General features: G+C 42.1%; 1 protein-coding gene across 3 annotated transcripts in view, besides 1 other annotated feature; it reads right to left on the minus strand.

The window, feature by feature from the left end:
- MAP7D3 (MAP7 domain containing 3) overlaps positions 1 to 16355 on the minus strand; it is a 43263-nt gene extending 26908 nt beyond the window's left edge. The window contains exons 1-6 of one of the 3 annotated variants that reach the window (NM_001173516.1): positions 16177 to 16355; positions 6116 to 6214; positions 5938 to 6021; positions 4505 to 4668; positions 1033 to 1150; positions 255 to 359 (exon numbers count right to left, since the gene is read on the minus strand). In NM_001173516.1, the coding sequence (NP_001166987.1) occupies positions 255 to 359; positions 1033 to 1150; positions 4505 to 4668; positions 5938 to 6021; positions 6116 to 6214; positions 16177 to 16192 (586 nt within the window). In that variant the 5' untranslated portion in view covers positions 16193 to 16355. Of the gene's footprint in view, positions 1 to 254; positions 360 to 1032; positions 1151 to 4504; positions 4669 to 5937; positions 6022 to 6115; positions 6215 to 11161; positions 11274 to 16176 lie in introns of those variants that run through there. The other 2 variants (NM_024597.4, NM_001173517.2) reach the window with 2 other exon arrangements.
- Positions 10990 to 11379: a silencer, noted in NCBI's record as "silent region_21026". NCBI's record gives its function as "represses an Ori minimal core promoter by ATAC-STARR-seq in GM12878 lymphoblastoid cells {active_cell/tissue: GM12878}" and the evidence as "EXISTENCE:reporter gene assay evidence [ECO:0000049][PMID:35858748]".

Raw genomic sequence — 20671 nt, forward strand, 5'->3', positions numbered from 1 at the left:
GAGCCCACGAGGCAGAGGTTGCAGTGAGCCAAGATCATGCCACTGCACTCCAGTATGGGCAACAGAGTGAGACTCTGTCTCAAAAAAAAAAAAAAAAAAGTATGACTATCTCTCTCCCTCTGCTGTAAAATAACATGGGACTCTTCTGAAATAAACATAAATGTTCCACAATCTAAATAGGTGGTACTGTAAAAATATAAAGAACTGATTTCATTTAATAGAAATTCAGTAGAATACATGAAATAACTACTTACTTTTGGCAACGGAATTTTGAAGGCCTGCAGATGACAAAGGCATTTGTCTGATTAAAGCAGAAGTACCCTGTTCAAGTTTTTCAGTAGATGCAGATCGTTTATTGGCTGAGAAAAGACATAATACTTACTGTAATCATATTTCAAGGAGGAAAGAATCATTAACTGAAAAAAAAATGAGTTTTCATGATATAGTTCTATGGAGCACAGACTTACATTACTCAAGTTCACAATATCACTGCCCGTCAATCCTTTTTTTTTAGTAGAGACGGGGCTTCACCATGTTGGCCAGGCGGGTCTTGAACTCTTGACCTCAAGTGATCTGCTCGCCTTGGCCTCTCAAAGTGCTGGGACTACAGGTGTGAGCCACGGCAACTGGCCAATCCTTCTAAACTACATAAATTTTACTTTTGTTTTCTGAAATTGTGTAGAATTATGTGCATATAAGAAAATTTACACTAAATCAATAGTAGACAAGGCAGACTTATTTTTAAAAATATGCATTTGATAAGCTGTGTAAAGCTTAGTCATTATTCAGCATTTTTCTGCTGATTATAAGTTTAAATAAGATTTTAGGTATATTGAGCTAAATAAAATCTACTATAACATTTCACCTGTTTCTTTTGCAATGGCATATGACAGAAATTTAAATTTACTATATACAGTATTTTTGTTTAGGATACAAACACTAAAATCTTGCTGTAAATGCAAGCTTCTACTCATAGCCAATATTTAAACAAGAACATAAACAAACTTAAAATTTAATGGGTGTATTAATTACCAGTTTTGCTCTCAGAATTCGCCATTGCAGAGCCTCCCCATGACCATCTTTTTTGCTGATAATCATCAGCAAGTCTCCTCCGTTCCAAAGTACGATAAAGAATGGCTGTAAATTTTTCCTATTTAAAATAAAAGCCAACATATTTTTACATATTCATCAAATTAGTATAATTTTGATCTGTGGTTTATAAAATAAACCATAACCAAATTTCTGTCTCAGGTAAAAGTTTAAAATAATTGGAGATATGTCTCAGCTATCAATCAATACCAGTGCTTCTCCTAAATAACTCATTTTTTTTTATCTTATGGACCTTGCATTAAGAAAATGACCATGCTTTCCTCTTTGTTTGTATCATTAGGAAATTTAGAGCCAAATGTGTAGCCTCTTTCTAGCAACTGTACAAAGACTGATTGGTATACTTTTGTGCATGCTAATCATACCTTATGTTTTATTTGCCTATGTTAGTTTTCCCCTCTGCTTGATTCCCCCAACCATTTATTTTTATCATCTGGTGTGGTATGTATTTTTAAGTCACCTTAAATTCTTTGTAGAATGAGGCAGGGGAAAAATCAGCACACATATAAGTTAAATTTATACCAGAATCATCTAGTATACTCACATCTGTAACAGCTAAAATTCTGGTGTTAACTAATAAAAATAAAGTTTCAAAAAAGATAATCAATATATTTGTCTTGACCTCAACTTTAGCTGGTCAAGACAACAGCTATACAAAGTAAATACCATGCTGCAGCAAAACAACTCCACTTCCAGAAATGAGCTCTTCTCTCAAATATTTCTCATCCTTGTACTGTGCCATACCATGAACTCAGGTAAGCAAATCAACTTTTAGGACCAGAGATCTTCTATTTTTCCCTAACAACAACCGTTTCATAGCAAACACCATCCTTACAAAGCCTCTACTGTTTCTACCAATGGCAAAGATAAACGTACTAGGAAAATGGAGATGAGCCATATCTTCTGAGAAGAAAAGCAACCGCAATTCTTAAAATAAAGTTGATACAATGGGCAACATTTGAAAATTATATTTTCTAACAGAAAGGCAGTTGTTCTGAATTACTTAGAAACCCTGAAACTATAATAGACTAAAAACAAAGATTAACTTTGTATTATTAAACTATTTCTGATTCTATTCCACTGTTTCCAAATGCATTACCTACTGTGCTCTCTTCCAGGTCCCTTCTCACATCGTGGCCACCCAGGGCTCACATAGAAGTTCCTATCCCATTTCATATACACCTCCTGTCCACACTCATCCCTCCTCAGCACCACTGAGTCTGGGTTTTTTTTTTCTGCTCTCCAGAATTCCTCTCTTTTGCTATATGTAGCCTACTTACAGTGTCCCATGTCCCCTGTTCTGTCTGGGACTCTCCCGCACTAGCTATCTGGGGTTTTCTTTTGCCCCTTCTCCTGCCATGTCTGTGGCTCCCTTTCTGTCTGCAGTGTCATTTTGCTGCATTCTCTTCTATTCTCTGTGTTCTCTCTGGCAGCTTCCTCTTTCTCTAAGATAGTCTTTATTTTTTGGTCTCAGTCCCTGTGACTTGTCTCTCTCCTCCATGGACTCCCACTCACTCTACACACAGTTTGTATTTCACTTTCTTTGGTTCTTTACTTAGTTCTTGGTTCTTTCTTCGTTTATCATTACTTAGTTCATTCTCTCTCTTTCTCTGGCCTTCATCTCTTTACCACAGAAAAGTAAAATAAGAGAGATGTTTCAAGAAGATGATGGAAAGTGACAGAAATTCTGAATGAGAGTCTACCAAATACTAGAGCATGAAACAGAGCATAAACAACCACAGAAAAGGGTTCAGAAAGGGAGAGATATAGTACACCATGGATGGGGAAAAAGTGGCACAAGAAGTGTCCTAGAATCAGGAAGCTCTCCAGATAGGGTGCAGGGCTGGAGAGGAAGCACGTACAAGAGCAAAGGTATGGATGAGGAGGGAGGAAACTGAGCACCGCAGAGAAAGACAAGAGGAAGCTTCATGGGAGAAATGGAACCAAAGAGAAAAGGAGAGAAAAAGAAATGCAAATATTAGAGTGACAGAAAATAAGAGAGGGAAATAAAAATACAACACACTGAGAGAATGGCAGGCAGAGGATATAAAGATGGGGAAAAACAGACAGAAGCTAAGACAAAGACAGAATAAAGAAAATCAAGCTGCCTCAGGCAGAAAAAGGCCAGAGTCAGAGACCAAAAGACAGACTAAGGCTTATTTAGGGACACTTAAGAATCCCTATAATAGGCTGGGCACAGTGGCTCACGCCTGTAATCCCAGCACTTTGGGAGGCCAAGGAGGGTGGATCACGAGGTCAGGAGTTCAAGACCAGCCTGGCCAAGATAGTGAACCCCCATCTCTACTAAAAACACAAAAATTAGCCAGGCGTGGCGGTAGGCGCCTGCAATCCCAGCTACTTGGGAGGCTGAGGTAGGAGAATTGCTTGAACCGGGGGGGCAGAAGTTGCAGTGAGCCAAGATCACGCCACTATACTCCAGCCTGGGCGACAGAGTGAGACTCTGTCTCAAAGAAAAAAAAAAAATCCCTGGAATAAAGAGAAAGAGAGAATGCCAGGAAGATAGAGGACAGTGTCACAGCGACCACGCTAGATTCAGAAGGAGTGAAGCATACTCCAAGTCAAGTAGTGAAATGACCTACAAGAGAAAAATTTGGTGTCAGAGAGAATCATACGGAATGAGACAGGTAGCCAGATGCCCAGTACCACAAAAGACAAACTGAAGAAAGACAGAAGTGAAAAAGAGAGGGCATAACAAAGCCACAGACTCATCCCAACAGAGTGCCAAAGACACCAAAAGAGAATCCAGAAAGGAAAAGAGAGGAGCAGTGCCACAAAACAAGAGCAAGAATGCTGACTCTGAACCACACATCCAGAGGGGCCCTGTCAGGAAAGGGAATGTGAGGAACACGGAGACAGAGGGTAGAGAGGGAGAGAGTGTGAGTGTGCACCAGAGGGAGCCAGGGAAGCTGAAAAGGAGAGCGAATGCCCTGATTTGGCTGGGGAGTCACACTTTTAAAGGAGTTGTGAGAAATCGGTCAGATGAGGGCACGTCAGGGAGGGTCAGACAGTGGGGTCTGCCCCTATTCTGTAGGCAATGAGACAACAGTGAATACTTTTTGGTAGTAAACAGAGCCACTCAGAACAAACCCCAGGCCACAGGTACCTCATGTGCCAAGTCCTGAAGGTGGATGGGGCTTTGTTCCTGGATTTGGAAGTCTCCCCATTCCCTAGGCTAGTGGGTCTCAGCTCCTGGCATCTTATCAGGACATGGGTAAAAGCCTATATAATGCTGAGGGGAAGAGGAAGCGAAGAAGAAAGAGCTGGGATTGGTTCCCTTTCTACAGGGCAAGTAAGGCAGAGAAGGCCTGAGAAAACAATATTCTAGACTCAGGCAACACAGTTTATCCTCTCATGCACAGGCTGCAAAATTATGTACCTTTTGTGCTTCATCCTTCTGGTGTCTTTTTTCTTCTGCAGCTATTCTCCGTTGTTCTTCTTTCTCTTTTCGCTCCTTCAGCTTTCTCTGTCTTTCCTCCATCTGTTTTTCATATTGGAGCTTGGTCTTTCTTTCTTTTTCAAGTAGTTGTGTTTCTTTATTGGCTGAAATATTCCAAATACATTTTCAAGGTGTAAGAGCCAAGAAAATATTTAGGTTTTCCACATTACACACACAGAAGGAAAAAGTTAACACATCTCATTCACTTTCTTAAAATAACACAACCTGTGCTAGTAACTAAAGATTTATTATAAAAGTGAACAGAGGTAGCCACTGCAGAACCATTTTCACTGAGTATTCATTTAACTCTGGAGAACTGGATTGTCTGTGCCAAATGACTCTCATCCTGTCCAAACTACAATTCCAAATTAAGAAAAAATATTTTCTTTCATGTGATATTTCTGCTGATTTGAGCTAAAGTCAAACCCTACCATATTAATATGCTGTACATTAAAATACTAATTATTAAAAACTGCATGGCCAGGATACATGTTTTGTTCCCTTCTACTAGGAAACTTCTTTCAAAGTCCTCATCTATACAGACCATATTAAACATGCCAGTTTTACATTAATGGACTTAACCATATACCATATTACAGGAGAGCAAAATTTTTCCTATATTCAAATTTTCCCTCACTAAATGCTTCTGAAGTGTGACTCTGTATAAATTAGGATCTAAAAGGATAATCTTTTTACAACTTGGTAACATGCTTTTCATCTTATCTATGTTAGGATTATTGGCAATTTATTTTCATTTTTAGAATAACTTTTACTGGCCAGGCGCGGTGGCTCACGCCTGTAATCCCAGCACTTTGGAAGGCCGAGGTGGGTGGATCACGAGGTCAGGAGATCAAGACCACCCGGGCTAACACGATGAAACCCCGTCTCTACCAAAAATACAAAAAATTAGCCGGGTGTGGTGGCGGGTGACTGTAGTCCCAGTTACTCGGGAGGCTGAGGCAGGAGAATGGCATGAACCCGGGAGGCGGAGGCTGCAGTGAGCTGAGATCGCGCCACTGAACTCCAGCTTGGGTGACAGAGTAAGACTCCGCCTCAAAACAAAACAAAAAAAAAAGAATCACTTTTACTGAAATCCCATTCTGATTGTTTTTACAAATATTGAAGAAATTTCCAGACCTTAGTTTTCAGAAAATCAAAGCTAAGATAAACTACTCCTTCAAAAATTAAACAATTTAATCAAAGAATTTTCATGGGCCTTCTTGCCTGATTTAGTAAAAGGATTTAATCCAAAATAATACATAATATAAAAATTATACTCTATCATATAAACAAATTAGGAGGAATAAGTTAAAAACACTTTGCAATATATAACACAATTCATTTTGATTTTTGAAAAAAGGTCTAAAATATACCGTCTTGCTGTCTCCTTTTCTCCTCTCTGCGCTCTCTTGCTAATCTTTGTTTTATGTCATTTTTAAGCATGGATCCATCGATTACTAAAAAAAAAAGAATATAGTTAGATATTAATAGGATATCAAATTTTAAAGATATGACACTTTGACATCTATCAAAGCATCAGAGAAATTATACCTGGTTTAAATGTCGATCTTATATTTGAGGAATGGGTTGCAACACGATTAACCACATCTTGCTTCCTCCTTTCCTTAGCAATCTCGTTTGCTGCAGCAACTAAAATACAGGGAGATAAAAGGATTAGATGTTAAGAATACGGATAGCTAACACAGGAGTCAGCAAACCACGGCCAATTGTATTTGATGATAAAGGATAGGATCACTTCTATAAATCATGACTGATTTCATCTGGGTCAACAACAAAGATATATTGAACACCTATGATCTTCAACAACACTTTAACAAAGAATTTAAAGTGTTTACTATGATGGGCCAGGGTATTTGTAGACATAAAGATAATTGAGTTGTTAGTGGCGGTGGCAGCATAAGTTTGTGGATGAGTAGGAGCCAATGATTAATAGGTTTTAAAAATGTCTCAAACAAAACATTACACCAAGTGTTAGAAATACTGAGCTGGCGAGGAATTGGGAAAATTAAGTTTCACCATAAATTGGGAATTCAGAAGATAACAGGTTAAGAATTTATGGATCTGAATTGGGAAGCAAAGTGTTAACAGTGAAATACTCAGTGAAAGATCAGGCCCAACCAATGTTAAGGAGTACATTTATAAATTACCTAAATTAGGGGCTTTCTATCCTGGTTGCACACTGGAATCACCTAACTCACTTTTAGAAAATCAGCAATGCCTGCCTGCCCGCTCCCCATCACCAGTCTCTGGCTGTGGGGCCCAGGCATCTACAATTGTTGAGCTCTATTCTGATGCATATTGAAGGTGGAGAAATAAATATTCTTTTAGAAGAAGTAATCTCCAATGAGATGGTATCATTCTAGGTAGATGTCAAGCAAACAAATATAAATTATACAAGGTGCAAACAAACGTGTAAACAGGCAGAAAAGTGATAAACTTCAATAAGGGTGAAGTGTAAGATTAGGAAAGCACAGTATGAGGAAAAGTAAGAAAACTAAAATTCCAGGATGACACACATGAGTTATTATAGGGGAATCCCTGAACCCTTTAATTCCACACATGGCTATATCTAAAATGTCCCACAATACTGAGCATCTTCAGAAAGAGTATTGAAAATAACACTGAAAACTAACTCTGTTCTTCTTTTGTAGAAAAGCACAGGAAGTAAGCCCCTGTGATGCTGCATACAAGTCTGGTTTCTATGTATTGAGAAAAATGTAACAGTTGAAGATGGGCAGTTAAAGTAACTGAGGGAATAGAGGGGCTGTCCTTGGACTTATAAAATGAATGAACTCTGAGGTGTTAATTGCTACTGAGGGAGTTATTTTACAGCATAATCTTGAAAATGACATCACAATTGCTGCCGTAAGGATCACCATTTTTTTTTTTTTTTTTTACCCCAGAGGCCGAACAGCCCAGATAATATATGACCTAGCTTAATTTGAGGATTAGACTCTTCTCAGCTTCCTTAATAATTTAAGTACTGGCAATTCCATGGACCACAATTATTTTCTGAATTTGAGCACTAGTATATTAACAAAAATTCTTGGTCTATAGACACTCCTATATACCCACTTGCAACATTTTTATGTGAGTGCAGAGAAAACAATAAAGTACTTGTAGTATTGTTTTTACACATTCAGTTCTCCTGCTTAGAAGTCCCAAGGATAGTCCGTATTTGACACTATTTAGCTGATAATTTCCCTCAAAATCTACATTTTTGGCCCAGAGTGGTGGCTCATGCCTGTAATCCCAGCACTTTGGGAGGCCAAGGCAAGTGGATCACTTGAGGTCAGGAGTTTGGAACCAGCCTGGCCAACATGGCAAACTCCCATCTCTAAAAATACAAAAATTAGCTGGGTGTGGTGGTGCATGCCTGTAGTCTCAGCTACTCAGGAGGCTGAGCCCAAGAGTTTGAGGCTGCAGTGAGCCTTTAGCATCCCACTGCACTCCAGCCTGGGCAACCCTGTCTCAAAAAAAGTATACTTTTACCAGGCTAATTAAAAATCTTATTAAACAGAAATAACCTTAGAAGTAGCTGTGGTGAGAATAATGAACCGAATCATATAAAGGTTAATGTGGTAGTAGTATCAAATCTGATTTTTAGACCTTTGTATCCAAATTCCTACTGGTAAGAAATACATTAACAGAAAGGACAGGGTTTAAAAATTATTTAAAATGTCCAGAAAATGGGATAACACCTTTATGTCTGGATATAATAAAGTCAACATTTTATTCAACTTCATTGAATGAAAGAATTTACTTAACATGCATTTAAATGAATGAGGGAATTTACTTAATATTCAGTTAAAAGTAACAGCAAGGTATTTCTGTAGTCCTTATACTAATTCTAAATCCAAAATTAAAGTAAAAGTTATATTTTGCCCAGAGATTAAATAAGAAAATGTGTAGTGTATTACTAAAACTGAATTATGAATCTTAATCTGTATTTATAGAACTTTTCTAAAAACTTCCATAACACATATTATATACCATTTCACCATTTACAAAGTTCATTTGTATTACTTCATGTAATTCTTACAACAATCCTATAAAGTGGACGTAATTATTTTCCCCAATTTTTTTTATAGTTGAAAAAACTGAAGCTAAACATAACTTTCCCAGTTCACACAGGTAGTAAGTGGTGAAGCCAGAACTTGATTTAACTGTAAATTTCAAAGCAACTTTATTTTGAAATATTAAGAAAAAATAACAGGAAAAGAAATCTGCCATCAGAGAACCATAAAAATCAGGCAGATTCACAGAATTTTGCCTCAAATAGCAAAAGCCAAAGTCATAGGGCTGAGACTTTCAGAAGACCTCCAAGTTCAAACCAAAGATAGCATGTCTTGAAGACAAAACTGGAGACAATTTTCTACCATTTAGAGCTGTCTACAATGGAATGGCTACTTGGAAAAATATTAAGCTCCTCATGAGAGTGCCCATTCAAGTGGCAGAAGTGCCCCAGGATTTTACAGCTGGGACTCTGGATGCCTGACAAGATCATCTTAAGGTTTCTCCAACTCTAAAATTCTATGATAATCTAGCTGTCAATCTCCGTAGCTTTTTCTGCATTGGTAGAAATTATTCTTTGAAAAAGTTATTCTAAACTGAGAAACACTGGTGAATTTAGAAAAACAAGAAGGGAAAGGTGATACGTCAGTGGCAAGTTTCTTATGCTCATCTGGTTGAAATATTCAAATAAATTTTTATTTTAAAACAATTCTGCATAAAAATATAAACACGTGTTTTGTTAAATATTTGGTATGCTACAACCTCAGCACAGTGCTATGCACAGAAAACATCACTCAACAAATATATATTTACACTTTATATGTAACACATATATATATACATGTATCTATTGCATGCATACATAAATGTATAAAATAAATGTATTTTGACTGTGCTATGCATTTATATGTTATGTATTCAAGACAGTTTTAACTCTTGCTGCCAGACTGCCAGCAGAAGATGAAAACAACATTTTAGCAAAAACATCTGTCTCCTTGACCCCTTCAGGAAAACGCTGAGATCTAAAGGGCAGTTCTGGTCAAGTTGGTGCTCTGTGAAAAAAGTCTAACATGCGATATTTACAATTCCTAACATGAAGTGGGCAGCAAGGTTTTAAACCAGGGTCCTAGGTTAAGACTTTTACATGGCTCTTAAGTTTTTGGTTTGAAATGCTGTGAATTCCAGTATCTGTCCCATATATAATTTTAAAACACTTTCCAACATCTGATATACAAATGCTTTTAGGGGTTTATCCGGTTCACAGCTTCTTCACCATATTGGAGTAATGCTGGTTAATCTAAATCACTGAAATAAACCAGTGCCTGAGAGCCACAGGTACCAATAAGCAACACAATTTATTGGAGACTGTCTTTCTAGGTGAACCATAAGTATAGACACGGAAGGAAGATTCTTTTCTCCCTAATGAATGGTGAAAGTGTATGTAGTATATGCTTCTGACACAGTCTTTGGAGAGCTGATTCAAAGTCTTCTCAAGTAACATATAGCTTCCCAATCGTAAACAATCTAACTTTTTAATTGCAAATGCAAAAAAACCCCTAAGAAATTCAATTAAAATTAATAAAATCGTTTTATTCGCGCTCATAGCAGAGGGAACTAGTCTAACAGGCTAAAAGCAACCTCCTGAAAGGAAGAAATCCTATCTCAGGTAGTGGAGCAGTCTCCTGGACCAAGCAATGTGCTGTCAAATTGTATAAGATTAACGGTTTTCGAGGAGGGAAAAACGTTTTGGCGATGGGACTAGTTGAGGAAAAAGCACTCTGAAGTGCTGATTCCCGTTCAGTTCAGCCTAGAGACTGCAAGATGTCCCACAGAAGATGACATCTTGTTGAAGTCATGTGCTACAGCAGGCAAATCAGGAGATGCAAAGAGCCAAGTTTCATCCCAACTTTTAAAGCAACTTTTAAGCATCCCCACCCTCACCCAGCTTCCTCCCTGGACCTTGACCGGGAGGGTGCAGGAGGTAAGCCTTTGGGAGAGGCAAGGACTGCGACAGTAAAAGCGCCTAAACTCGCCCACGACCCGGGCTGGGGGATAACTCAAACTTTCCGTGCCTGGAAAGGCTGCCTGGCGGCGGAGGCGGCGCCGGCGCGCGGAGTCCCTGCGGGCGCCCGCACATCCCAGGCAGCTGTGCGTTCGTTGGGGCGGTTGCGCGGGCGGCCACCGCCCCCCAAGGGCAGATGGGGCACGGGGCGGTCCGCGGGGTCCGGCTTCCAGCCGCCCCCGCCCCGCCCGTCGAAGCAGAGCCCGTGAGTTGCCTCGCGCCGCGTCCGCGGGGCTCAGACCGTTGGCAGCGGCAGTTCGACCGTTGGCGGCGGGACTCAGGCGGCTCGCGGCGTCGGCTGACAATTTCAACCCCCCGCCCCCGCCCCTGTCCCATCCCAGGGCACTCCGGCGGGGGTGAGGGGAGGACCAGATAGCACGAGGCGACTCCAGGGAAAAGTTTTGTGGCGCCCGCTGCGCCGCTCCGACGGCCCGGGGACTGCGGGAACCCTGCCTCCCACGCGGGCCCGAACCACCCCCGGGAGCCACCCGCCCGCTCACCCATCCGTGCCCGCAGCTCTCTCAAGGATGGGCTGCCGCCAGCGCCAGCTGCGGCGCCGTCCGCCATCATCGGAGTCGGGACCGGAGGCGGTGGTGGCTCTCCGCATACATTGCGCAGGCGTCGGCGCGGCCTCCGCTTGGGTCGTGGCCGGGCTGCCGGTGGGCGGGGCGGGGCGGGGCGGGGCGGGGCGGGGCCCGAAGGGCCACCGCGCCCGCCTCGGACCTGCGAACCGGGCAGGATTGCCCCTTGCGTCCCACGTCCTGACCGGCTGGGCAGCGACTACCTGGTCTAAAGAAACCCTCTCCTATGTTCCGTGCTCTGCCCCTACTGCATTGTGAGGACTAGCCAATCAGCACCCAGCTTGGCCCCCCCAACATTCCTTTCTTCACCTTTACCTAGCAACACAGTAACATTCCTTCCTCATTCATTCATTCATTTAAAGAACATTTACGGCGTGCCTCCTGGGTGCGCTTGTATCATGAGTTTACTAGTCCTTGAAACATTACACAAAGAAAGACCCAAGTTGGGGGAAGAAGCCTAGGGAGAGGTTGGGAGTCGCAGGCTTGCTTTGAGGTGCTAGGGGCCCCATCATGAGTAGGCTTCCCTAAACTGTTGCACAATAAATCATGACACATAGGTCTCAAAGTTGGGTGAAATATCTTTAAGATGTTTGTGAGTCTTCAAAGAGAGGCAGAGGACTTATTGGCATCAATCTCTCCGGATTTTGGGAGAGACTCTACCAGGTTGCAGAATGTTTTTCCCATTCACAAGGAAAACCGTCATTGGCCTGAGGCTCCTTTAAGGGGCAGACCTCACTTCATGGGGGCTTGCCCTTATGAGGTGGAGTCACCACTGTTGTGAGTGTGTGTGTAGTGACATAGTTGTAGGCACGCAGTTTATGGTTGGGGCCATTAAGTGTGGTGCAGGAGATCCCAAAATGGGGCTGGACCACTTGTGAGATGGGCACTTTGGCGAGACCACTGAGTCTCCAAATGACATGGGAGCTGTAAAATGGAAGAAGCTAATAATAGCATATATTACATATGTTAGCAATGATAGCATAAGTTACATATATTAATATATAATATATATAATATGTAATATGGGGCAGGCACGGTGGCTCATGCCTGTAATCCTAGCATTTTGGGAGGCTGAGGTGGGTGGATCATTTGAGGTCAGGAGTTCGAGACTAGCCTGGCCAACATGGTGAAACTCCGACTCTACTAAAAATACAAAAATTAGCCGGGCATGGTGGTGGGTGCCTGTAATCCCAGCTACTTGGGAGGCTGAGGCAGGAGAATCGCTTGAACCCGGGAGGTGGAGTTTGCAGTGAGCCATGATAGCACCACTGCACTCCAGCCTGGGTGACAGAGCGAGACTCTGTCTCAAAAAAAAAAAAAAAAAAAAAAAGAAAAGAAAAGAAAAAGAAAAAAAAGACATTACGTTGCACCTACAATTTTAACAAAAATTAAAACGTGGTCAATAAGTGTTTGCGATGATGTAGATTAATACAAGTGGGGGGCCAGGCACGGTGGTTCACACCTGTAATCCCAGCCCCAGCACTTTGGGAGGCCCAGGCAGGTGGATAACCTGAAGTCAGGAGTTCAAGATCAGCCTGGCCAGCATGGGGAAACCCCGTCTCTAGTAAAAATACAAAAATTAGCTGGGCGTCGTGGCGGGCCCCTGTAATCCCAGCTGCTCGGGAGGCTGAGGCAGGAGAATCGCTTGAACCCGGGAGGTGGAGGTTGCAGTGAGCCGAGAGCTGCCACTGCACTCCAGCCTGGGCAACAGAGCGAGACTCTGTCTCGAAGAAAAAAAAAACTAGTGGCAAAAATAAACAGTTTGGCATTATAACTCCCGAAGCTCTGCTTCTAAGTAAATACAGAGACCAATGCTTTGCATGATATCCAGGATGGTAGCCATTCATGATTATTAATACGACACACATATGATTAGGGTGCCCACAAAACACACACACATACACAAACACAAGTTCAGCTTTCATGACCTTATCTGGAACTCCGCAAACAGAAAATTTAGCAAAACACATCAGCTTTGTAGTTTCTTGCAAAAATGTTGAACCCAAATCTAATAATGAAGAAACATTCAGACAGAGATAGAGACTGTGATATAGTCCACAAAATAACTGGCCCCAATGCTTCAAAATATTAGTGTCATGAAAGACTAACAACAAAAATCAGAGAAGTGTTCCAGATCACAGGAGGCTAAAGAGACCACATGCAATGTATGATCCTTGATTACAACCCTAATTTTTAAAAGAAGCTTGAAAGGGCATACGTTACTGGCATAATTAGAAAATTTGAATATGAACTGTATGGTACATGATATTGTATCAAGGTCAAATTTCTTGGGTGTGGGAATGATGTTGTAGTCACCTAGGAAAATGCACTTCTTCTTAAGAAATAAATAGTCACGCCTGTAATCCCAGCACTTTGGGAGGCTGAGGCCGGCACATTGCTTGAGCTCAGGAGTTCCAGACCAGCCTGGCCCAACATGGCGAAACACCATCTCTAGAAAAAAATAAAAACACAAGACAAAAACCCAAAAATTACCTGGGTGTAGTGGCACATGCCTGTAATTCCAGCTACTCGGGAGGCTAAGGCAAGAGAATCGCTTGAACCCAGGAGGCGGAGGTTGCAGTGAGCTGAGATTGCCTGCTGCACTCCAGCCTGGGAGACAGAATGAGACTTTGTCTCACGAACACAAAAAAAGACATAAATATTGAAGAATGTAGGGGTAAAGATTTGAGGTTTTTCCAAATAAGAAGTTAGATAATTTTTTCTTTATTTTTTGAGATGGAGTCTCACTCTATCACCCAGGCTGGAGTGCAGTGGTACAGTCCTGGCTCACTGCAACCTCCGCCTCCTGGGTTCAAGCGATTCTCCTGCCTCAGCCTCCCAAGTAGCAGGAATTACAGACCTGCACCCCCACGCCCGGCTAATTTTTGTATTTTTAGTAGAGACGGGGTTTTGCCATGTTGACCAGTCTAGTCTCCAACTCCTGAGGTCAAGTGATTCACCCTCCTTGGCATCCCAGAGTGCTGGGATTACAGATGTGAACCACTGCGCCCAGCCGAGTTTTTTTCAATCTAGAAGTTTGTCTTCAACTTATTTGTAAACACTGTCACTTTGAAAAATAAAATTTGATTGGGAATTACACATGGGGAGGCACCCTACTAGTCTTTTCAGTGTTTAGAGCCTCTAAAGGCCTCAGTCCAGCCAGGGTGTAGGAGGAAGAGGGGAGATAAGACATCCAGGAATAACCACATACAGGTGGCATGAGTAGGATTTAGGCGAGTAACTGAAACGGCTTCCAAGGGCTAAGGGATGAGAAATCAGTCCTGTTTGGAGTGATCAGAGAAGTCTTTGTGGAAGAATTAGCACTTATTCTGGGCCTGAGATGGGGACTGTGGGAACCACCTCCAAAAGCGAGTAACCACGTCTTAATTCCAGCCCATGGTCGCTGAGTGGGCAGATGGGCCCATCTGTGGCCAGATATTCCCACTTTTCAAAATAAACTCGAAATCTGGATCTTAATGTAAAATCTATTTTTAAATGATGACATTAAAAGTAAAAACAAAAACAAAAACAAACAAACAACAAAAACAAACAAACAAAAAAAACGGCTGGGTGCGGTGGCTCACACCTGTAATCCCAGCACTTTGGAAGGCCAATGCGAGCAGATCACCTGAGGTCAGGATTCCCAGACCAGCCTGGCCAACATGGTGAAGCTCCATCTCTACTAAAAAATACAAAAATTAGCTGGGCGTGGTGGCACGCGCCTGTAATCCTAGGTACTAGGAGGCGGAGGCAGGAGGATCACTTGAACCTGGGAGGCCGAGGTTGTGGTGAGCTGAGATCGTGCTATTGCACTCCAGCCTGGGCAACAAGAGCAAAACTCTGTCTCAAAAACAAACAAACAAAAAAAAGCAAATAAAAAAAGAAAAAACATGGTGCAGGGCAGTGTTCAAATTTCCAAATTGCCTCATTTAAAAAATCTTTGAATAAAAATTCAAACAAGGTCCATACATTGCATTATTTGATATGCCTTTTAATCTGTAGATATAACTTCTTTCTCTCTAACATCATTGGTAGATTACTGTGAGATTTAGTATTCATTTAGTAGGTAAATTATTCAATTAATCTTTTATTAACCACCTACTCTGTGACTAGCAGTGTGGGGACAAATACATATGGAAGGAAGCCCTGCCCTCTAGGGTCCCCAATCTCATTGACTCTAAACTAATGACTTACATCAGGGTCCCTTTAGATGTTTCCTTGGGGCTACAGAAGCTCACCAAGGAGCTCCCACGAGACTGTACATTTCTGAGAAAAAAATATTGGAACTGAAAGCTATCAGCTTGGGGACAGTGGAGTTTATTCTGGAGCCAAAACAGACTCAGAGCTGGGAAAGAACCCAGGCGGCTCCTCTCCTCTCCTCTCCTCCCCGTATTTGGAAAGCATGTGTTCCCCAGCGAGCAGAGAAGAACTGGAATCCTGCTCGCTTTTTCTTCCTTCTAGGCTATTTTTTCCCCTTAAACCTTACACCCTTGGGAAAAACATTCAGAAACCACAGTCATAACAGGTCTAGAAATTGCCACATTTGTTTCTATTAAAAGATGAAGTTTTTTAAAAAATTGAACTTACATATAATAAACATTTAGTGAGCTTACCAATCTAGCGAATTTGCATGCAAACTGCCACCACCACAGTCCTGTACTATGAGTTTTAAGCTTACCAGCCATGCGATGGCTTTTTCTCTCCATTCTTAACGACCTGTTAGATTCCTTGTCATATACACAGTTGAGACAAGGCTCTGGTTTTGTGTTCTTTCTCCTCTCGTCGCTCACTCTTGTCCTGCATCTGTTGTAGCTTGACTGTGATGCCCGGGAAGAGTGATGTTTCCTTCTGGACTCATCTCTTGCCAAATCTACTCACATTTTCCTTCCTTTTCCCACATCTGCGCTTTCTTCCCTCCTAAGTTACAGACTTACCTCGGGGGCTGGTCATGTCTCACTTGGTTGATGGCAGCCTTCTCAGCTCTGGAATTCCCACTGCAGCACTGCTCCCCCACCAACAACTGACACTTCAGTACCCCTCCTTCCTGTGGCACAGAGGACCAGGGTGACCCTGCTGTCTAATTTCAACAGGCTGCTCTGTACCATTTCCTTTTAGGTCTTCCCTGGGGTGGAGGCGCTGATTTTCATAGCCTGAGCTCACCAGGGAGGGGGCAGTGAACTTCTGAGGAGAGGAAAAAGAGGCTCCCACTGCCATTTCCCTCCAAAGTGGGAATGTAGACGAACCTCAGAGAGGAAGGGTGTGGCAGTGGGGGCAATTTGCTTGGAGTAGTACATAAGCCGAGGAAACTGCCTGGTTGATAGTAAGAGCCATCATTTGCCGGTTGCCTACTCAGTGGGAGGCCCAGTGCAAAAGGGTCGACATGGATTATTTCGTGTAATCTTCACCACAACTTTATGAGCTAGCTTCTATTCCCATCCTCATTTTACAGATGAGGAAGCAGGCCCAGGGAGGTTAACTAACCTGCCCAGATGGGAAGTCGCAGAGTTGAGATTCAAGCCCACATGTATCTGACTCCAGAGCTCGTCCGCCTTCCACTGGGCCTCCCAATTTCTTTTTCCTTTATTTTCTGAGATGGAGTCTCGCTCTGTCACCCAGGCTGGAGTGCAGTGGTGCAATCGTGGCTCACTGCAACCTGCATCTCCCGACTTCAAGCGATTGTCTTGCCTCAGCCTCCTCAGTAGCTGGGACTACATGCGTGCCCCACCACACCCAATTTTTTTTTTTTTTTTTTGGTATTTTTCATAGAGACGGGGTTTCACCATGTTGCCCAGGCTGGTCAAACTCCTTACCTCAAATGATCCACCCGCCTTGCCCTCCCAAGTTGCTGGGATTACAGGTGTGAGTCACTGTGCCTGGTTCCTCCCAATTTCCAGTTGACAAGCCCTTGGACACTATTAATTCCTCACCCTTGTCTTCCACTTCTTCCTTGATCCAATCCTCACACTCTGGCTACAGAGCCTTTTGAAAGTTACACTTTCTAATTGGTAAGGTCTCCCACAACTACATCTCCTAACATGAGTGTTGGTACAGCTGTCTGTTAAGCCTCTAATGAAATCGACTCAAACTATTGAAGAAGAAAGCATTGAAAATGGGTGTTTAGTTGATGGTTACAATAAAAGCCCAGACACTTCACCACTACAAAACTGCACTTGTACCCCTTAAAGTTATACAGATTAAAAAAAATGGGTGTTTAATGTATATCTTGCAAGGGAGATAGATATGACTCCTTTTAAGCAGGCTTCCTTCTAGAAAGGCTCAGAAGAGTCAATAAATGCTGAGTACATGGGACTGATTTCAAAATACATGTATAAAGGAAGATGTGCCACATTTATCATGCTGTGTATCCTGTAAAGAATATTTATGGAATGAATAAAAGAGAGTACTAGAAGCCCCCTGGGTACTGAAGGAGGAAGAAATGAAAATGCTTTGGATGGCCACCCCAGTGTTGAAAAGATCTAGACTTAAAATTATTAAAGGGCAAGAAAATGTCCTCATTTTTTTTTCTTGACTTCAAATAAAGTACAGCAAACATGGGCTGTGCCTCCTCATTCCAAATACAGGCCTGCAATATAAGGGAAGCTTCAGAGGATGCCAAAAAGCAGAAAGTATCAAGGGATGCCCTTTAAAGACACTTTGGAATTTCTAATAGAGCTAAAAATTGGTAAAATCCAGATAGGAAAAAATGAGAAGAAAATAGGAGTTAACATAGATTTCTGGGCCCCATTCCCAGAGTTTCTGATTCTATAAGTGTTATTATTTATATGACATCCATTCCTGAGTATACTGAACAATGTCTTGTGTGATGACAATTACTGCTGAGTATTTAATACCATTACACTTTGATAATGGAAAATATTAGAGATTCTAATACAGATCTAGTATTGTGTACATTGTGGAATATATATATGTATATATATGTATATGTATACGTATATGTGTGTGTATATATACATATATTTTTTTTAACTCAGAGCAGGCAGATGCTTTGCCCTGGGTTACATTGAAAGCCAAGGTAGCACCATGACATTACCAGCGAGCATGACAAGGCAGGGAAGCACATCACAATACAGACAGGTGGAGGTGGTGGTGTACGTCACCTATAGGGAGATGCAGCAGAGATGCCTGATGGCATTTCATATCACAATGCACTGTGCCAGAGTCTGATACAACGCACTGCATACACGATTTTCTCTTTTCCCCACAAAGGACAGTACACGCACAAAGCCAACTACATTTTAAAATGAGCTAGCTAGATGAATGAAGGAGAAGTAAAAACATCCAGATCACACACAGAAAGTGAGACACAGAAGAAACTCTTCTCCTATAAACTGAGAGAGATGTTTCCCCGGGAAAATTGGTCAGATTCAGAGTAGACCATGTCCCCTCATCCACTGCACTCAGCCCCCAGTTTTTCATGCTGCAAACTCAGATGTCTCTGTGGCAGAGGGAATGGTTTGTTGCTTTGAGTGTTGATCTAGACATCTGGAAGCTCTGTGGCTGGGAGGAATCTCATCCATACTTATGTATTGTACTTCATTAATCATCAAGTCCTATCTGGGGCTACATGGTGTTCTAAAGTCTTAGATTATAAACACTTTGAGATTCAACCTGAAGGCATTTTCACTGGTTAAAAATCTGTTCTTGCTGTGGTTCTTCTTGAGAGAATGTCCCTTTGCAAAACTCAGTTGTCAATGGGCTGATACAGTTGTGTAGCTGAAAGCCTTCACTGTAAACCTCATTGTTTTTTTCATGGCCAGTTCACAGCCCTATTTAAAGAATGTGTACTTTGGGAGAAAAAGGGCCTGAGAATATAAAGGGACCTGTGTGGGCAATCTCCAGGGCATGTGGGTCTATTGGCATGCACGCATGGGTAGCCAAGAGTCAAAGCAAGTTTTGCCAATGGATTCCCATCATCTTTGCATGCAGGTCAGGTGAAGGACTCAGCAAAAACAGAGCAAAAGTTCTGAGGCTCAGGTTAACCCAACAGCAAACACTTCAAGGCCCACAAGGAGAGTATTCAGGAAGAGACTTGAGGTAGATGAGGAGAAGAAAAAAAGTGCAGGTTATCCCTGAGGCCAATGGGTAAATAGACCATTTTCCTCTGTTCTCATGAAAGACACATACACTTGGATTTTGCTTTTCTTTAGTTTCCAGATGTTACTGTTGAGAACATATCAAGGATGTCAGAACTAGGAACAACTGTCAAGGCCACCTACTTTAGTCCTTTTACTTTCCTCCGAGGCTCAGAGAGAGGTGTTGACTCAACTTCCTGTGGCTGGAACCGAAGTCTCCTGACACCCTATCTAATGAATGTTCTTTCCTCTACGCACACGTGAAAGGCTGCCTAAACAATCTTTTGGGAGGAAAAAAAAAAAAGTGAGAATTGCTGATCCAATGCTGGGAACCATTATGTAATCCAGCTGGAATTTGGCCTATATCCTCCCAATGAAACTGAAAAGGGGATAGGAGGGAATTAAATGGAGATGTTGCAAAGTTTTGAAAGATGTACTGTTTGACAACTTGTTCTTTTTGTAAAGGTTCCTGTGAATTGGCCTTTACCTGCTGTTCCAGACTCATTCCTCACTACTTTCTCCCAGGAACTCTTTTTTGCACAGGTGAAACCAGGACGTCTCCTGAGCCTACAAGGGCCTCTGCTTTGATCTTTGCTCTTCCCCCACCTCACCGAGGCATGATTCAAATTCAGGATAATCTGATTCCAGAGCTCGCAAGCTTTCCATCAGTAGGAGGAGTCAGAGGAAGAGAGGGCCACTAAAAATGTTGCCTGGGAGCCTATGCCAAAGGCCAAACGAGCAGCCACATCAAATTTCCATCTGAATCTGGGAGTTAGGATGGGAATGGGGGAAATGGCCAAGCTCTAGTGTACCTGAGTGGCTTCATGGAAGAAATGGCTATTTCTTGAATGGTGAGTTTTTTTATATGTTGTCCTCAGAGCTTAGGACAAGGCAGGGAATCGCATCACAATACAGGGAGGTGAGCGACACATCACCAACAGGGAGGTGCAACAGGGATGCTGATGGCATTTTACCACAATGCCCTTCTTTAATACTGTGTAGAAGGTTTGTGTTCAATAAGTTTTGTTGTTGATCATGATGACATTTATTATTATGCCTGGGGATAATTAATTCAACTGAAACATACTCAGGAGGAACTGTTTCGTTTTTTGGTACTAACCAGTTCTTTTCTTTCTCTCTCCTTTTGCTGGGGGCGGGGGAGAGATATGTGCACCCAATTCCGGGATACTGCAGAAAAGGCTGATGTAAGAAGGGAGGTGTGAGAAATAAAGTACTGACTTCAATTTTGGTTCTGTAGAAATATTTGGGTAGCCGGCTTGGTGGTGTTTTCATGATTAAAAATGACCCAGTGTGTGTGCTTGACAGGAACATGGAC

The sequence above is a fragment of the Homo sapiens genome, chromosome X, assembly GCF_000001405.40.
Source record: "Homo sapiens chromosome X, GRCh38.p14 Primary Assembly".
NCBI classification, from domain to species: Eukaryota; Metazoa; Chordata; class Mammalia; order Primates; family Hominidae; genus Homo; species Homo sapiens.